Below are 18980 nucleotides of genomic sequence, written 5' to 3' on the forward strand. Positions count from 1 at the left end.
AGTGTCACATACAAGGACACAGAGAAAAAGGAAACTAGTAATTCAAAACAATAAATTAAAAGAAGAAAAAAGCTGCAGGCATGCTGTAAATGTCCACCTCAAATGAGCATTTCTGACCTGCGAGTAGTGACTATCGGGCATGGGGTCAGTTTCATGGGTCTTGACCAACATTGAACACAAAGTGGAAAAAGAACTTCCACATCAAGATGGTGGATGGAAATACACATCTGATAGCTTGTACCCCAAACTCAGCTAAAACTGCAGTAAAGGAATTCAAACATACAAGCACACACACACAAATCCACAAGGACCAGGAAGACAGGCATCAACCACAACACAAGTTTGGAAGCTGCAAAGCATATGGACAAGTGGCAAAGGATCTAGTAGACTAAAGAAAGCGAGTCCTGACCAGCAGAGGGGAAGGCTGAGAAATAATGAGGTACACAGCAGACTCCTCCAAAGATGCGGGCACTGGCATCCCCAGATGCTGAGGTCCTGGAGGAGAGGAAAGGAGCAGCTGAATTAAGGAGGCTGGGGTAAAAAGGTGCTCAAGGTACAAACAAACCCCTAGATCCCTGTCCCCACTCCAACTTGTTCTCTCTCAGCAGACACTGGGATGCTTCTCTGTGGAGGGTAAGACAGAGGGGTCTCTAGCCTGGGGAATACCAAGCATAGCTGGACTCAGGTGCAACAAGAAACAGAGAGCATGGGGCTATATGCACACACACCCTTCCCACTCAGCTCCTAATGCTGACATCAGACCTCTACTCTCCAGTCTGAAGATTCATCTCTAAGAGAGCAGACCAACAAAGAGAAAAGACTTTAACACACTGACCTCAGGGATCCCTCAACTAACAGCCCATCCAGATACCCCACAGTAAAAGAACCTCTGATTTGAGAAGGCCCATGCACTTGTGTGGAACTTCCAATCAGCATTTCCATCTCTCTTCTCTGTATCATAAATAACCAAGGGTTAATGGGCACTTGAGGAAAGCCTCCAGTATGAACAAATAGACCCAAATAAACAGATTAGGGAAACTTAGAATGGTATATGCTGTGGATTCTTTTAAAACTTAATTTTTTTTTTCAGAGATGATACTCCACTCAAAAACAAAACAAAAAACAAGCAACAAAAAAAATCCCAGAATGTTATTTAGAATTTTTTTTTAAAAAGCTCTTGGGGCCAGGTGCAGTGGCTCAGGCCTGTAATCCCAGCACTTTGGGAGGCCGAGGTGGGCGGATCACGAGGTCAAGAGATCGAGATCATCCTGGCCAACATGGTGAAACCCCGTCTCTACTAAAAATACAAAAATTAGCTGGGCATGGTGGTGCACACCTGTAGTCCCAGCTGCTCGGGAGGCTGAGGCAGGAGAATCACTTGAACCCGGGAGGTGGAAGTTGCAGTGAGCTGAGATCGTGCCACTTGCACTCCAGCCTGGCAACAGAGCAAGACTCCATCTCAACAACAACAAAAACAAGCTTTTGGGAGGCCCTTGGGCCTCACAACACACATATTGTTAAGGCCTTGCCACCTATTTCATGGCATCTAATTATTATATATATATATATATATATATATATATATTTTTAAGTAAAATTAAAGCCTTTTTTTTTTTAGACCGAGTCTCACTCTGTTGCCCAGGCTGGAGTGCAGTGGTGTGATCTTGGCTCACTGCAACCTCTGGCTCCTGTGTTCAAGTGATTCTCCTGCCTCACCCTCCCAAGTAGCTGGGACTTAAGGTGTGTGCCACCATGCCCAGCTAATTTTTGTTTTAGTAGATGTGGTTTCACCATGTTGGCCGGCTGGTCTTGAACACCTGAACTCAAGTGATTAAAAAATACACTGGGGCTGGGCACAGTGGCTCATGCCTGTAATTTTAGCACTTTTGGGAGGCCCAGGTGAGAGAATTGCTTGAGGCCAGGAGTTTGAGACCAGCCCGGACAACATGGTGAAGCCCCGTCTCTACAAAAAATACAAAAAAATTAGCTGGGTATCATAGCATGTGCCTGTAGTCTCAGCTACTCTGGAGGCTGAGGTGGGAGAATCACTTGAGCCCAGGAATTAAAGGCTGCAGTGAGCCATGACTGTGCTACCGCACTCCTCACTGGGTGACCGAGTTAAGACCCCGTCTAAAAAAAAAAAAAAAAAAATCAAGCTCTTGGAAATCTTTAAAAGGTATGATAGTAGAGGGAAAAATCATAGAAGGATTGGAAGGTAAAGTTGAAGAAACAGAGTAACAGAGATGGAAAAATGGGAGTGAAAAGATAAAGTGGAAGGTCAGTAAAGGAGTTCTAACATCTGAATAACAGGGATAAGAGAAACCAAAAAAAATCAGAAATCATAAAGAGAAATCAGAAAATAAACAAAGGGAGGCAATTATCAATGAAGTCATTAAATTCCCCAGGACCAAGAAAATATGATTTTGATTGAAAGGGTTCAGCGTGCCAAGCACAGAGGATGGAAACACCCTCTCCAAGGCATGTGATCATGGACCACTGGAGGAAAATAAGGTTCTAAGAGTTACAAGAGAGAAAGAAAGTGGTCACATACAAATGGCTGCTAGACCACAGACCAATGCCTTCAAAATTTCAAGTAAAAATGTTATCGAAATACACACTATTAAAACTATCAATGATGGGAGAAGAGAATAAAGATATTTTCAGACATTTCAGATCTCAAAACTTTTACCTCCTACACACGTTTACAGGGAACCTACGCAAGGATGCATGCCACCAAAAAGAGGGAATAAGTCAAAATAGGAATACACAGGACACAGAAAATAGGAAATTTAACATAAGAGGCAAAGAGAATCACCAGGGTGGTGGTATGCGAAAGTCAATGGAACTACAGAGATCTCGCACATGGCTGAGACCATGAAGGTATTATGTTCCTAACACAAATGGCTTAAACACAAGCTGCATGACTCTTAGATTATCTGAGCAAGAATGCTGTTTCCTAAACTGAAATACAGAAATTAAAAATCTGCCTGAATTCAACTGATTCTATATAGTCTTATACACTTCTATATGCAGGTATACATGAAGCTGGTAACAGCACTGGCCTTGGCTGGGTGACATGGCTCATGCCTGTAACCCTAGCACTTTTGGAGGCTGAGGCAGGTGGACTGCTTGAGCTCAGGAGTTTGAGACTAGCCTGGGCAACATAGCGAGACCTTGTCTCTATTTTTAAAAATAAAACAAAAACTAAACAGTAGTGGCCTTTAGGGCAAGTGGGTTGTGGGCCCCTAGCAAAGAGATGAGGAGAATGACTTTTCACCATTCACCCTTTTATTTTTTTGACTTGTGTACTACAAGTAGTACTTGTTCAACAATGAATATATTCCCTAATTCAAAAAAGAATGGAATGAAAAATATCATCACACGTAACAAGAATGTTTTATGAAAATTAAACATATAAAACTGGATCCCATACACATATTAATGTTATACTATAAAATGTTATATTTATATTTATTTATATACATGTGTTATATTTATATTTATATATAGTTACAGTGTTATCTAACACTATAAATGTGTTAAAGAGGTTATGATAGAAAATGTTTCTTACTGAAGGTTGCAAAGAAGTTTGAAAGCAATAAACCAAGAACTTTGGTAAAGACCTGCTTTCCTACAATACTGAGCATCCACTGGGTCCTGGGCACTCCCAGATCTGAGATGTTCGTGCCTTGTATGTGGAGGTGCACATGGAACCAAACCTCCCCACCAGGTGCTGGTATTCCAGGTGCAGTGTCCATTCATGTCTGTTCTAGGCCCACCTCTGTAAGCAGTGTTAGGGAGGGCCTCTGGCTTTGTGTGAGAAGGCCACTACAGGGAAACTTTGAAAAAAAATAAAGATGACAAAACATCACCCATAATTTTAAGGAATATTATTCTAAAACAAAAAATATTAATAAAATCATAGGTTTATTCCAATATTTTAAAATATTTTCTGTAACATTCCACTCAGAAGGTAGATAACCACAAAGTTCTTCCCTAAGGAAGGGTGCAAATGGAATGTAATACATTACTGTACTCTGTAGAATACAAACTGTGAAGACAAGGAAATTTAATTATTCAATTTTTTCCTTCTACATCATTTCTGCTGGAGAACTGCTCACTTAACATCCTAGAAGCTATCCTGTTGAGATTTGCTACCATGATACAGGAGTGATGAACCTTCACTCTCAGCATAATGAATGTGACACTGCCTACATCCATCCTGTGGGAGAGTTAAAAGGACAAGCCCCCTGCAGCACACGCCAACCAATCTATCAGAGCAATCATGCATGTGACTACTTCTGCCAAAATCCTCCAACTTAATTTTTAAATAGCTAAAATATGATCAAGGTCATATGGGTACTGCATTTGAAACTACAAACATCCTCTGTTCACAAATGTTCACTGTTATAGCAACAGCACTTTGGTACAGTCAAGGGCACAATCACATTTTTAAAAATCTAGAGCGAAAAGTAAACACGAAAGGGCATTTGCATGAGGCAGAGAATTCTGTTTCTTGGCAGTAGACAGAAAACTGGCTAAAGAAATAGGCTCACAGATAGGTACAATCTACAATTTGATTCTCTGAGTATTAGTCTTGAAGACATAGCTATACACATCCCAACATATAGCCTACTATTTTACATTAGTAGTTTCTTATATAACAGTTGGAAGAAAAACATATCAAAAACCAACCTAAATCATATTTATTAACCACTTTAATAAGCCCCTTTATACTTTCTTTTTTTTCAACCACTTTACTCCAGGTTTGGTTAGTATAATCATGAGACTGTCTAGCCTAATAGTCTAGAGAAAATTCTCCGGTTCCAAGACGATGCCTTGCTATGTAGCCATTAATTATTAAGCTCCTGGTAAACCCTGAATTAGATATAGAAATTTGCAAAACAATGATATATTTCCAAGAATGTGAAAAACAGAGGAAATTTAAGGCAGATGGTAACTCTAAGAAGAGTCACACGAGTATTAAATTGGCCCTCAGGAAATGGCTCATAGCAAAATCTAATTTTCTATCAGATGAGGGGGCCAGGCACAGTGGCTCATGCCTATAATCCTAGGACTTTAGGAGGCTGAGGTGGGAGGATCACTTGAATCCAGGAATTCGAGACCAGCCTGGGCAACATGGCAAAATCCCATCTCTACAAAAACACACATTAGCTGGGCGTGGTAGTGTGTACTTGTAGTCACACACACCCTTGGGAGGCTGAGGTGGGAGGATCACTTGAGCTCAGGAGGCAGAGGTTGCAGTGAGCCGAGATGGTGCCATGGCACTCCAACCTGGGCGACAGAGATCCCATTTCAAAAAAAAAAAGGAACAGATTGGGGGCTGCATTGTTAGGCTACACTGAGGAAATGTTCCTCTTATGGATCCACAGAAGAAAAATGACTTTTAGTGCCACGTGCCTTGCAATTATCTCTAGCAAAACAGCCTAGCTCCCTCAACCCCACTGTGTGTCTGGGAAAAGACAGTAAAAACATTTCCTTGAGAGGTGAAGACTAAAAGGAAGCTACCGGCTCACTGTGCACAGGTGAGAAAATGTCACGGTAAAGGAGCACCATGTGTTGATTTTAACAGCTTTTTCTAACTGGAGGAATCTGTCACATGCCATAGAAAAATTGCTCCCTGCCCTCTGAAAAAAAAAAAAATGTCATACAGAAAAATCAGGTTCATAAAAGAAAGTATACATCCAAAGTAGGCAAAAACTATGGTTTATGTTTTCAAAATATGCAAAATAATTTCACTATATAATACCTTGATTTGCATGTGACTTAGTACTTATTTCATATTAACCAGATTCACTTGCTTTCATAAATCTGTGTTTTAGAAAATCTATTTTTTAAAAATATCTATTTTTAAGCCAGAAGATAAACCTTACATTTGTGCATCCATGTGTAAAGCAATCCTGCTTGGCATTATGCAGCCAAGATACTAAAAGATTAATAACATAATTTTAAAAAGCTCCAGATACAGACTAACAAATAATATATTTCCTTAAATTTTCTGGGCTATACTACTGACCTGAATTCATGCAATCTGAATTTTCAGATATAAGTACCACTCAATGGTTGGTTGTTACAACTTAGAAGCAATAGGGTTGGGAAGACCTTCAAAATATTGGCCATTAAATCATAAGTAAAATTATTCTTAGAGCTGGATTATCATAAGTGGAGTGCCCTAACTTTTCTTATTTCATACTCAGCAAATTGATTCTAACATTCATAATCATGCCCTTTTATGTGCTTTAAGTGGACATACTGACTTTGCAGTCTATACTTTGTAAGAGAGCAGGTAACTCTAGCACAGAAGAAACCATGTAATGCGGAACTGGGGAGGACTTCAGTGGCACTATTCCATTTTTATTGATCCAGACTGTTGCTTTCAATCCTGCATTGAGGCCTCCTTGGATGTCGGTTTCTAATGTGTCACCGACCATCACACAGTCCCCAGGTTGTACTCCGAGAAGATTGCAGCAGTAATAAAATATGGACGGTGCTGGTTTCTCCTCTCTCTGCTCTCCACCTACAACAACAGCGTCAAAATAGGACTGACAGGCACAAGCCTCAATCTTCTCCCTCTGGGTCTGTCTGTCCCCATTCGTTAATAGAAGTAGGCGGACCTCCTTTCGAAGTTCAGTAAGCATGGCTTTGACGTCTTCTGCTAGTGTCATATGCTGTAAACGTGTAGATTTCCAAAGGAAATAACATTCTTCAGCCAATTTTCTATTGGCTGCACCACCTTTTGTTTCCTGGATTGCTTCTTCCCAATGTGAAGTCCTTAAATCAGTAATGCATGTATTGTAAGGATGAAAACATTCCTTGCTGAGTTTAACTTGAACTTTATCACAGATGATTTCAGCCTCTTCTTTATAATGGTATTTTGATTGTAAGAGTTTTATCACCTAAATAATGGAAAATAACTCCATTAACACATTGCATGTCTTTAGTAGTCATGCCCTAGGAAGCTGTGATCCTACAAGTGGCTGAGAGAGTCCAACTCCACTCCTCTGCTTTAAAGCAGCTACTAACTACACCGTTTCTGGTGGGAATTGGCCTTATTTTTAGAGACAACAAAGTGAGGCTCTCCCAACTGCTCTAGAACTCACTCATTTTTTAAAGCCAACTTCTTCATATATAGCTAGTAACAATCCTTTGTTTGGTAGTTTAGAGTCCAACATCTTTCATTCTGGTCATGAAGATATGAAAATAAAACTTGTGCTTTTTGGGCCGGGCATGGTGGCTCATGCCTGTAATCCCAGCACTTTGGAAGGCCAAGGTGGCAGGATCACTTGAGTTTAGGAGTTCAGGACCAGCATGAGCAACATATCGAGACCCCATCTTAAAAACAAAACAAAACAAAAACAAAAACTCGTTGTACTTATTTTTGGTAAAACATTTAAAATTTCTGACAACCACTATTTAGACTATCATCAGAAAAAAATAACACTTAGTTCATCTAATCTTTTCTCATCTACATCCATTTCACATTTTGAAGACCTAAATTGACTATCACCTATAATGGGATCCAATTCTACACTTTTATTTTTTTTGAGACACAGTCTCATTCTGTAGCTTAGGCTGAAGTACAATGGCACCAGCTCGGCTCACTGCAACCTCCACTGCCCAGGCTCAAGAGATTCTCCTGCTTTAGCCTCCCAAGTAGCTGGGATTACAGGCGCCCACCACGACGCCTGGTTAATTTTTGTATTTTTAGCAGAGACAGGGTTTCACAATGTTGGCCAGGCTGGTCTCGAACTCCTGACCTCAAGTGATCTGCCTGCCTCGGCCTCCAAATTACTAGGATTACAGGCGTGAACCACTGTGCCTGGCCCAATTCTGTACTTTTTTGTTTCTGGATACAGAGTCTCGCTCTGTTGCCCAGGCTGGAGTGCAGTGGTGCAATCTCAGCTTACTGCAACCTCTGCCTCCTGGGTTCAAGTGATTCTCCTGCTTCAGCCTCCCGCGTAGGTGAGACTATAGGTGCCCGCCACCATGCCTGGCTAATTTTTGTATTTTTAGTAGAGGCGGGGTTTTACCATGTTGGCCAGGCTAGCCTCGAACTCTTGACCCCAAGTGATCTTCCTGCCTCTGCCTGCCAAAGTGCTGGGATTATAGGCATGAGCCACTGCGCCCGGCCCCAATTCTGTACTTTTGAGTTAAATACTCCCTCTTCCTGCGTTCCCAAGGCTCTTTATGTGGCTTTTATAACACTAATCCATTTGGCCTGTCTTGTAACTTTTCCTAAAACCCCTAATGTGGCAAGCATTGTACTACATACTTACATACATTATTTCTAAACTTTTCTACAATCCTGCAAGACAGTTCCATGTTCCAAATTAGGCAGGGAAGTGCAGAACTGTTAATAACTCGCCCATCTGGGATCTGCATCCATACCTGCTTACTTCCAAAGCCCACATGCTTGCCTTTGCACTATGTGTTAAGCACTAGAGACTGGCCTTTGTCGTTGAGGCATTATCTGGTGGGGAATATAATATACAACCACTACAAATCATGGGCCGGGGGTGGGGGAAATGCCATGACAGTAGTTTGAACAAGCTGTGGGAATAATATGGAAGTCATTCCACAGGGTAGCTGGCAGAGGAAGTCACATTGAGACCAAGGAGTAAACAAGCAGAAAAAGCGGGTTTGGGAAGAGAAGAAAATCATTCCAGACAGAGGAACAGCATGAACAAAGGCCAAGAGTTTAAAATTTTGTGGAAAAAGCAAGAAGCTGAGTTGAGCCCAAATGGAGGCATGTGAGGGAAGATGCCAAGAGATGCAACTGGGGAACCTGTTCACAGATAGTTTGTGAAGGGCCTTGAACCCCATGTTATAGCAGGTGCTGCCTAAATCCCCTTGGCACACACTATATTCACTCGCCAGTGGCTTCCCTCTCCAAGTATGGGCCTCTCTGCTTGTGGGCTTTACTTGGCCACACACAAGGGTATCTATACACACAGGATGGGGCTAAAAAGTATTGCCCTGGGAGCAGCCCTCAACAAATGTAGGGCAGAAACTGGCGAATAAATATCACAGCTTCCTTGCCCCTTGGGGAGCAAAACTGAACCCTGTTCTGTGTACTGTCCCCCAGAAATCTCCAGCTGCTCACAGCAGTAACCTGGTCATTAAGCTGCTCTAACCCGTATTGGACTCCTTCCCCTTCTTGTCTCCCCGACCCCTTAACGTGTATCCTGGGATCGCCTCAAGAACTGTCTGCACTGGAAATCCTGTGTTCAGGTGAGCACCTGAAGAAAGTCAAACATGCCAGGCAATGCTGGCTCTTTGAAATGCACCCAGCTACAGTTAAAATATATCTGTTGTAATGGGACTAGGGAATAAACAGTATGCCACTCACACCAAAAACTCAACTCACCTACTGAGAGAGGAACGCATGTGTTTTTCTTCCCTCAGAGTAAAAGAATCACAACAAAGGAAAAGGGTCTTTTTTTTTTTTTTTTTTCCCCAAACAGGATCTTGCTCTGTTACTCAGGCTGGATGGAGTGCAGTAGAGGAATGATTATAGTTCACTGTGGCCTCAAACTCCTGGGCTCATCTCACTTCAGTCCCCCGAATAGCTAGAACTACAACTGCACACCACCATACCCAGCTAATAAATTTTTTTTGTAGAGACGGGTCTTGCCATATTGCCCAGGATTGTCTTTAACTCCTAGCCTCAAGCAATCCTCCTGCCTTGGCCTTCCAAAGTGCTGGGAATTACAGGTGTGAGCCACCGTGCCTGGCTGAAAGGAAAATATTTTTTGAGGTATTTGTGCTAATCAGAAAATGTATCAGAAGACTTGGCCATATGAGAAAAAAAAATTAAAGAAAAAAGAAAAGAAAATGTAATCATTAAGAAAAATCTTATCTGCCCAAGAAAAATATACCAGCCCTAGGAATTTTAGGTAAAGGCAAAACGCTGTAAATTTTTGCTTTATACATCTCTATGAACAAATAAAGCTTTCTCAATCTCCATGTTTATCTCACCATCTTTGCTAGCAACATCAATTGAAGGACTCTTAAGCTATGATTGACAGGAGCTCCAAAGTTTCAGCAACCCTACAGCAGTGCAAGGACACATGCCTCTAGGACTCCACAGAGCTTGCGCTTAGATACGGGCTGGCTCATAATCAGCTCCTATACAGACCCAATTTCCTACTGGCTCCCAGTACAGACCCAATTTCCTGTTACTTCAACTGGCACTTCATTAAGCACATTCTTGGGGCTCTGAAAAAGCAGGATTTGCTCACCTTAAAAGGGAGATGTTTATAAAGGCATGGTATGCCACGCCCAAGTTTCAAAATCTCTTCCTATTCTATCCCTTCAATTAACTTCCTCATTTTGTCATACAGCAACTAATTACAGGTTGGTATGCGACAATAAGTAGCATTTTAACAATATTAACATCTTTAGGAAAAAAGTTTATCAGCATTCATTTATTAGTTCAAACAGAAATTAACACCTACCCTGAATTAGTATGCGTTATTACAAACTCTCCTAACACCTGCACTGAAAATGGGAGTATTGATTGAATTGGAGGTGAAGGAAAAAGCTCTCTAACTTGGAGGCGTGATGATACTTTGTGTCTGACTGGTAAGGCAGGGCTGAAAAAGATTTTGGTATAAAGAGCCCACAAGGTGCTCGCTGGCCTGAAGAAAGGGGCCCTGCTCTGACAGAAGGGCTATCCGTTAGTAGATCAATATGAACTCAAACTTCACCCACTTCAAAACTCTATTTTAAGGCTCTCTCTGAACGTATACGAAAAAGGAAACTCTATTCTTCTGTCTGCTCCCTAGACCCAGAACTAAAGTTAGTATCATCAATACTTTAGTTTAGCTAACTGATTTTAAAAGACTTTTTGAGGGCTTAGTTTGGAACCATCTAATACTTTACAACACTTTAAGAAAAGTGTATTCTGAATACTAATCATTTGGATATGAAGCGTATAGCAGGTGCACCTGACAGCACTAACTTACGCACACCCTTAGAATGACCCTGTGGTCTATGAGGAATGTGTATTCGGGTTCCAAGATAAGGAGTCCAGGAGTGTCCAATCCAGAGATTCATTCCTTATTTATGAGGAGGATCTGAACCATGGCCCATCCCATCCTGCGGAACTCAGGTTGCAGAGGGGATAGAGGCCCCCCTTTTTTTTTTTTCCATTAAATGAAGGTAGCCAGGAGGAGGTTGCTGCAGGGAGGGTGCTAAGTGAAAATGCTATATAAACTGCATTCTTTTTACAAGTGGCTGCAGTTCTGTCCAGCCCGCCGCCAATGGACCGTCTTGTATATAAGTTCCCTCAAAAACCGTTCCTCATTTGCTGGCTCCGGGTCTCATCTTCAGCCTCTTGAACATGGTGCTATCCCTACTGAAATCAATAGGGATCCAGCACGACAGAAGGGGATGAATTCCAAATAAAACTATTAACAATTTTAAAACACGCTCACAAAATGAGGCCTGCACTCAGCCTAGCAATTCAAGCAGCGCTTCTGTTATTTTTATTTCAAGTCTGTGCACAAACATCACCTACTCGATGAGGCCAAATCTGACCAGTCTATTTAAAATGTTGATTTGTTACCCTCTCTGCTTTTTCTATCACACCTGTAAATATTTATTATGTTCACTGCCATACCCACTAAGAAGTAAATTCACAAATGCAGAAATCTCTTCTGCTTTGTTCACTGAGAAACTCCAGGCTTCTGTAGAAAAGTTCCTCTTGAGTAATTACCATGAAAAACAGGTCTAAAGAGGGAGAAAAAAAATAACTTCCCTAGGTGATTAGAAAAAATTAAAGTTGATACATACAGTCAGTATATGACCTCTTCTCCCCAAGCCCAAGGCCATAAATGGCTGGACCTTTCCCTCTTCCTCCATTCATAAATTATTATTATTTTTTGAGACGGAGTCTGGCTCTGTCGCCCAGGCTGGAGTGCAGTGGCGCGATCTCGGCTCACTGCAAGCTCCGCCTCCCGGGTTCACGCCATTCTCCTGGCTCAGCCTCCCCAGTAGCTGGGACTACAGGCGCCCGCCAACACACCCGGCTAATTTTTGTATTTTTAGTAGAGACGGGGTTTCACCGTGTTAGCCAGGATGGTCTCCATCTGCTGACCTCGTGATCTGCCCATCTCGGTCTCCCAAAGTACTGGGATTACAGGCGTGAGCCACCGCGCCCGGCCCATTCATAAATTATTTACAATGATTTGTAATTATAAAGGAGGCAGTAATAGAACCAAGTCTCGAAGTAAAAATTTGTATCCATCCATCCAGCATTTATTCAACATTTGCCATGTGTCAAACGAGGATAATTAAGACAGCTTGTTCCCTCCCAAGAAGCTCACTATTTAGTAGTAGGCACCTGAGTTGCAAAATTAATTGAAATATCCTTTGACAGATGCATTAAGAAATATCTGAACAAAATACAGCACTACTATAAGTGAGGGTGTAAAGACCAGGGAGGCATACGATTTAGTCTTTGTTTTAAAAATATTGCTGTGGCAAGAATGTGGAGGACACACTGGATGTGGTAAACCTGGAGACAAGCCCACAGCAACAGTCTAGGTGAGAGATGAGTTCAGCTGTAACTGAGACATGCACGGGGCATGTGCAGTGGTGGACAGACAGCGTACGAGGGTGGAAGGTGCTATAGTTCGCTGAGTGGACACTGCAACCATGGGCTTCCCAAGTATTACAGGGTTATTGAGGACTAATATAATTCACATTTTATGAAGATATAAGGCTCCGAGTGGTTAATTCCTTGAGGCACTTTCAGCTAGGTTTTGGGAGAGCTGTGATTCATATTCAAATGTCTGATTTTAAAGCCCAAACTCTGGGCCTACAGCAAGAATTGGCCTAAAGCAATAATTTAATTGAAATGCACAGGACTCAGCTTACTAATAACACACAGGTAAATATGTAACATCTGCAGCGAGAGATACTGGAGGCAATATGGCACAGGGTGGCACCCCTGAGGTGGAGGCCAACAAGTTAAAAGTGTGGAATGCCTCAGTAAAGTCATGAAGACAGACTTTAAAAATGTCTACTGATTCCGGCATTTTGGGAATGCCTAGTGATCCAGCAAGTCTATTTCAGTCTAGCGGTGAAGATAAAGCGACATTACGATGGATTTAGTAATAAATAGGAGGTAGAGACAAGGAGATAACGGGTATAGATTTCTCCGGGAAAACATGGCTGTCAAGAGAGACAGGCAACATCTACAGCAGGAAGAATAGCCCAAAGGGAGGCATCCTTTTTACAGCTTTTTTAAAACTATAGGGCAAACATGAATATGCGGCAGGAGTGGAATGCAGCTAAAAAGAAAACGGATGAGGTAGTGGAAGATCCAGGGACACAAAAACTAACTGATGAAGCATGAAGAGGACGGGGCGCTCAGGTTTGGATGAATTAGCTTTTGAAAGTGAGTTTTCCACATCTGATAAATCCTTCCCTTTCCCCTTGAAGCTGAAGGTAGAGAAAGGGAAGCCGGGGTGGACTGGGGCTGGAACACGGGAAGGTCTGAAAGCGCCTCCGCGCGTGTAGAGGGGCAGTGCCGCGGAGGAGCGCCTCAGGAAGGGCATGCCCTCGCAGCACGGGCTTTTGCTGTGTCACGTGTCAGAAAGCCACGGTGACCACCACCCCGCCAGGGAGGCCAGAAGAAGTTCTGCGGCGACAATTCTCTAAAGCAGGGCTTAAGTCCAGGCTCGGTACTGACAGCCGTGTCCCTTCTTGGGTCAACACTGGGGCTAACTCTACCATGTCTCCTCCCAGCAACCCCGAAAGTCGCATGGGGGACACGACCCTCTGTCGAGCTCCACACCGACAGTCTGACCGGGGGCGGGACCAGCGCCTGGTCTCGCGGCTTTGCTGTCGCCTCCCGCGCCCACGGGCACCTCCGCCACCGTGGCAGCCGTCACGGAGCCCTTCCGCGTCCCGAGCGCCAAGGCACCTGCGAGCAGCCGCTCCAGGGCTCGAGATTGGGTGACAAGCGGCCGCCAGGCCAGGGAAAGCAGACCCGCAGGGCCCGCGCGCCTCCAGCCACCTCCGCACCCGCACGCTCCACAGGTTTCAACCAGCAAGAGCGGCCCGCGGCGCCGGGGTGGAAGTGGGGTCAAGGGGAGGTGAGCGTGCAGGACGGGGCGGGGCGCACTGACCCCGCCCAGAGGAGCGCCATGGGTGGGGACGTTACCTCCAACATGCCTCTCCTGCTCGCCCCGGCCGTGTCGATGAGAGTGTTGTCCAAGTCAAAGAAAACCGCCCGCACGCGGCTCAGCCCCATAGCGCCGGCCGCTGGCGCGAACCGTAGCCTTGCCACCGCCGCCTGCGCATGCGCAAGGCGGACTGCCCAGAGAGACGTGGGAGGAGCCGCGAAGTCACCAGACCATCTCCCGGCGCGGGTGGAATTCCCGCGATCTGTCTCATTCCCTGCGCCGCCGAGAAAAGTGAGATCCCGCGAGACTCCCAGGGTATGGTCTCTCAAGAGCCCTGGAAACGTGTGTCGGCGCCGCCGGATGCGGCGACTTCTCAGTGGCTGTGGCTGGCGTTGGTCCGAAGCGTGGTGTTCTTCCCTGGTGTCTTTCTGCTTATCTCTTTCCTCCCTGGGCCCTCCGGCGCGAGGGACCGTCATCACCTCCCCGAGAGAGGTTGTCCGCGCTGCCAGGCGCTGGGCAGCAGGCTCTCCGGGTGGCCGGGCGGGCGGCGCGGAGACGTCGGCGGGCCTGATGTCTGCCTTGAGCGCCCGCGGTCCTAGCCTGCCTGTACGCGCAGGTCACTGTAGGTGATCTGGGGACGGGGGAAGGTGGAGCCTGCGCCTTCCCGCCTCGCGCCATTTGCGGCCTTCGCCGGGGTGGAATCCCTGTCTGCCTGGGCCCGCGCCAGCACGTTTCTGAAGGATGTGACTTGGGTCTCTTACAACCCGTTTAGTACCTGTGCCCTAAGACGGAGGGGCTGTGTAGTGGCTGCCCCATGTTTTGCCCTTCCTGATTGTTTTCCTGAAACCTTGCGTTCTCAGGTCTTTGGATGCCTTTTACTCGGTTGTTTTCAGGCATAGCAAGAGGTTGAGGGACGTCGACCGCCTTTTAAACCCGCGGAAGGGCTGTAGCAACTCTTGTCTCCTAGTGCTGGCAGAACGGGGATCGTAACACTAATCTCTAATCTTTGTCTCTCTTGGGTACCTTTACTGTAATTTGGATATGTGGTCATCATTAGTGACCAGAAATTGACTGTCAGGTACAGGCCAATTACCTGATTTTGTTTAGCCAGTGAGCTAAGTGGTTTTTTTTATTTTTTAATTTATTTTTATTTTTATTTTCGAGATGGAGTCTTGCTCTGTCACCCAGTCTGGCGTGTAGTGGCACGATCTTGGCTCACTGCAACCTCCGCCTCCCGGGTTCAAGCAATTCTCCGGCTTCAGCCTCCTGAGTAGCTGGGATTACAGGCGCATGCCACCACCCCCCGGCTAATTTTTGTATTTTTAGTAGAGACGGAGTTTCACCATGTTGGCCAGGCTGGTTCTCGAACTCCTGACTTCGTGATCCACCCGTCTTGGCCTCCCAAAGAGCTGGGATTACAGGCGTGAGCCACCGCGCCTGGCTAAGGGTGATTTTTACATTTGTAAATGGATTTAAAAAATCAAAATAACAGTGTTTTGTTACACATGAAAATCAAGAAATTTTAGTGCCCATAGTTGCATTAGAACACAGCGCACACATTCATTTCTGTATCGTCTGTGGCTGCTGTTGCCATACAGAAGCAGACAGAGTTGAGTAATTGTAAGCGAGACCACGTGGCTGGAAATCCTAAAATATTCATTATTTAGCTCTTTAGAGAAAAAAATTGCCAGTCTCTCACCTCGCTGGTGGAACTCCTTAACAGACCACTGATGTTCAGTAGGTTAGATTAATTGGTTTATCTTTATATTAATAGGAGTTTCTTCTGCAGCGTTAGACTACCTACAGTTTCTATATTTTATGGAGCACAATCACAGTTGACATCTCATTGCTATGGTGGAGAATAAACCCATAGGCATTCCTCAAAACCATGACTCCTTTCTGTGCTTACCTCATTGACGTATAGGGCTAGCCTATCAATTGTGGACATTTAGATTAGCAATCAGCCAAAATTATGGTGAATTAATTGGAGTTACTTTTAATTGCCTGAAATGTCAGAATCAATTTAGCATAAAACTATAGGCACAGGAAGCTTATAGGATTGGAGCAGCTTTTTTTTTTTTTTTCTGACTTGCATGCAGAGTTTGTTGTTTGCTGATTTAGGCAAAAATCTAAGGTTAGATGAGGCATAGCAGTCTGTATAATCCTTTTAAGGGGATGCGTTGTTTGATAGATTTCCTTTTGTGACAAGTCGTCTAATGGCATTCCATGACCTGTCCAACTTTGTGTAGAGCACCCTATTCTGTTGCTGTTCATAAAAATCTGAATCTGTTGTCCCACACATAGCACCAATTGAAAATAAAAAACAGGAGAGGGAGGATTAAAATTGGCCTATACCGCCTCCTCCAATTGCAGAAACATCGGTGCTGCCTCCTTCGGTAGTAGAAATAGAAACCCCAACACAAAGAATTTTACGCTCTGCTGTCATAGCTGGAGAGCCCTTAGGACCTTGCGCTTTTCCTGTTTCCATAAGGCCTGATCCAAATAATCCATAGTAGGTAATTCATGAACACACTCCACAGGAATTTAAGTTGTTGAAGGAATTAAAAACTAGTGTGGTCAATAATGGAGTACAAAGCCCATGGTTCCCAGAGGAAGGAATTCTAGACATAGAACTCTGGGAACAAGTGGGGAGAAACCTTAAACAACATCAGGCGCAAAGGCATCAGGTCCCAGTAAAATCTTTAATGTTATGGGCTTTAATTTGAGCAGCCCTGGCTCAGTTACACACAGAAGATCCTAAAAAGAGGAAGGAGAAGAAAACATCACCTGCCTTATCACCTCCTCTTCCCTCAGCCCCAATATCACTGGGCCAAAATAACAAAGAGGAAACAGAGGTCTTACCTAAGCCGCCTCCTCCTATAGATAGGGAAAAGGACAGAGGATATACTACAGCTATCAGTCCCTGTCCAGGTGCCACTATGTAACTAGCATGGACCTAGGGGGACTGAACAAAGAGGGGGAACACAGGAATGAAAGACGAGATAAAAATATATTTGGAAGAAGGGGTCGGGGGCACCTTGCCTCTAGTGGACAAGGGGCCTGAGCTTTACACAGCCCTCCGTATTTATTAGGCAAAAGAGATAGCGAGAAGGGGGGCGATTGTTGGGTAATAGTCGGCCATTTGGTTCACAGCAGGCTTGCGAGACTGCATCCTTTGGACAATAGGCGCTAGATTTCTCAATAGATAACTTTAAGGAGCCTGGCACCAGGGAGTGATGTCCTTCAGCAAACCTTTTGGTGGCAGGGCAATGTGAATTTGCCCACATCCTGCATTCATGATAAACAGTTTGCTGTTTGATCATATAGCCTCCGGTGGAATGCTGAGTTGGTCATGTCCCATGGGTCTTCGGCTCCTTGCAACTTTGCTACTTGAATAATGGCTAGATGCAGTAAAACCTGACAGCTTTATTATTTTATTATTAACTGTTTTTTTGAGATGGAGTTTCACTCTCGTTGCCCAGGCTGGAGTGCAATGGTGTGATCTCAGCTCACTGCAACCTCCACCTCCTGGGTTCAGGCAATTCTCCTGCCTCAACCTCCCAAGTAGCTGGGACTACAGGCATGCACCACCATGCCTGGCTAATTTTGCATTTTCAATAGAGACGGGGTTTCGCTCTGTTGGCCAGGCTGGTCTCAGACTCCTGACTTCAGGTGGTCCACCCACCTCGGCCTCCCAAAGTGCTGGGATTGCAGGCATGAGCTACCGTGCCTGGCTGACACCTTGATTGATTGATTGATTGAGACAGAGTCTCACTCTGTTGCCCAGACTGGAGTGCAGTGGCGTGATCTCAGTTTCCAGCTTCAAGCAATTCTCCTGCCCAAGTCTCCCTAGTAGCTGGGATTAAAGGTGCGTGCCACCATGCCTGGCTAATTTTTGTATTTTTAGTAGAGATGGGGTTTTGCCATGTTGGCCAGGCTGGTCTTGAAATCCTGACCTCATTTGATCTGCCTGCCTCAGCCTCCCAAAGTGCTGGGATTACAGGCATGAGCCACTGCACCCAGCCAGCTTTTTTTTTTTAATTAATATTATTCGAGACAGGGTCTTGCTCTGTTGCCCAGGCTGGAGGGCAGTGGCACAATCTCGGCTCACTGCAACTTCTGTCTCCTGGGCTCAAGTGGTCCTCCCACCACCATGTGGCAGCATGCTTGGCTAATTTTTTTTTTTTTAATTTACAAAGAAAAGAGGCTTAATTGGCTTATGGTTCTTTGGCCTATATAGACTTCTGCTTTTGGGGAGGCCTCAGGAAACTTACAATCAGGGTGGAAGGTGAAGAGAAAGCAAGCACATCTTCACATGGCTGGCAGGAGAGAGGAGGTGGGGAGGTGCTACACACTTTCAGTCAACCAGATCTTATGAGACCTCTATCTCAAGAACAGCAAGGGGGACGTCTGCCCCCATGATTCAATCATCTCCCACCAGGCCTCTCCTCCAACACTGGTGATTACAATTCGACATGAAATTTGAGTGGGGACACAGACCCAAGCCATATCAACTAATAAAGATAACACTAACTGTTGTAACAAACTGCAAATTTTAGTTGTCTGGGCAGTGAAATAGAAGTTCACTTCTCATTTATATAAAGTGTGGTGTGGATTGGTCCTGGGTTGATAGTGTCATTTCTCCATGGGGTGACGCAAGGCCCAGGGTTTTTCTTGTCATAGCTTCGCCATCCCCTAGAACCTGGGAATCTTCTATCCCCGGGCACTGGAAACCTGGAGAGATCATCGGGGAAGCACACCTGATTTTGAAAAACCCTGGCCTGGAAATGACCACTTCCCCTCTGCTTGTAGCCTATGGTTTGG

At 44.5% G+C, this 18980-nt stretch overlaps 1 protein-coding gene, 1 long non-coding RNA gene and 1 pseudogene across 4 annotated transcripts in view, besides 3 other annotated features; 2 read left to right on the forward strand and 1 right to left on the reverse strand.

Annotated features, from left to right (window-relative positions):
* On the forward strand, nucleotides 1489–1559 carry RNU6ATAC17P (RNA, U6atac small nuclear 17, pseudogene; annotated as a pseudogene).
* NANP (N-acetylneuraminic acid phosphatase) lies at nucleotides 3271–14350 on the reverse strand. Its single transcript, NM_152667.3, has 2 exons — nucleotides 14195–14350; nucleotides 3271–6917 (listed from the first exon to the last, which is right to left on the reverse strand). Exons 1-2 carry the CDS (start codon nucleotides 14282–14284, stop codon nucleotides 6261–6263), a joined length of 747 nt encoding a protein of 248 aa, NP_689880.1. The 5' UTR covers nucleotides 14285–14350; the 3' UTR covers nucleotides 3271–6260.
* Nucleotides 13623–14298: an enhancer, noted in NCBI's record as "H3K27ac hESC enhancer chr20:25603923-25604598 (GRCh37/hg19 assembly coordinates)". NCBI's record gives its function as "activates a minimal SCP1, AML or CMV promoter by ChIP-STARR-seq in naive H9 embryonic stem cells {active_cell/tissue: H9 hESC(naive)}" and the evidence as "EXISTENCE:reporter gene assay evidence [ECO:0000049][PMID:30033119]".
* Nucleotides 14040–14099: a silencer, noted in NCBI's record as "silent region_12754". NCBI's record gives its function as "represses an Ori minimal core promoter by ATAC-STARR-seq in GM12878 lymphoblastoid cells {active_cell/tissue: GM12878}" and the evidence as "EXISTENCE:reporter gene assay evidence [ECO:0000049][PMID:35858748]".
* Nucleotides 14270–14439: an enhancer, noted in NCBI's record as "active region_17671". NCBI's record gives its function as "activates an Ori minimal core promoter by ATAC-STARR-seq in GM12878 lymphoblastoid cells {active_cell/tissue: GM12878}" and the evidence as "EXISTENCE:reporter gene assay evidence [ECO:0000049][PMID:35858748]".
* The window catches only part of ZNF337-AS1 (ZNF337 antisense RNA 1), a 54030-nt gene continuing 49430 nt past the window's right edge, over nucleotides 14381–18980 (forward strand). For 2 of the 3 annotated variants that reach the window (NR_126465.1, NR_126466.1), the window contains exon 1: nucleotides 14381–14471. This is a non-coding gene — a long non-coding RNA (ZNF337 antisense RNA 1). Of the gene's footprint in view, nucleotides 14472–14560; nucleotides 14763–18980 lie in introns of those variants that run through there. The other variant, NR_126467.1, reaches the window with a different exon arrangement.

Source organism: Homo sapiens, chromosome 20 (genome assembly GCF_000001405.40).
Source record: "Homo sapiens chromosome 20, GRCh38.p14 Primary Assembly".
NCBI classification, from domain to species: domain Eukaryota; kingdom Metazoa; phylum Chordata; class Mammalia; order Primates; family Hominidae; genus Homo; species Homo sapiens.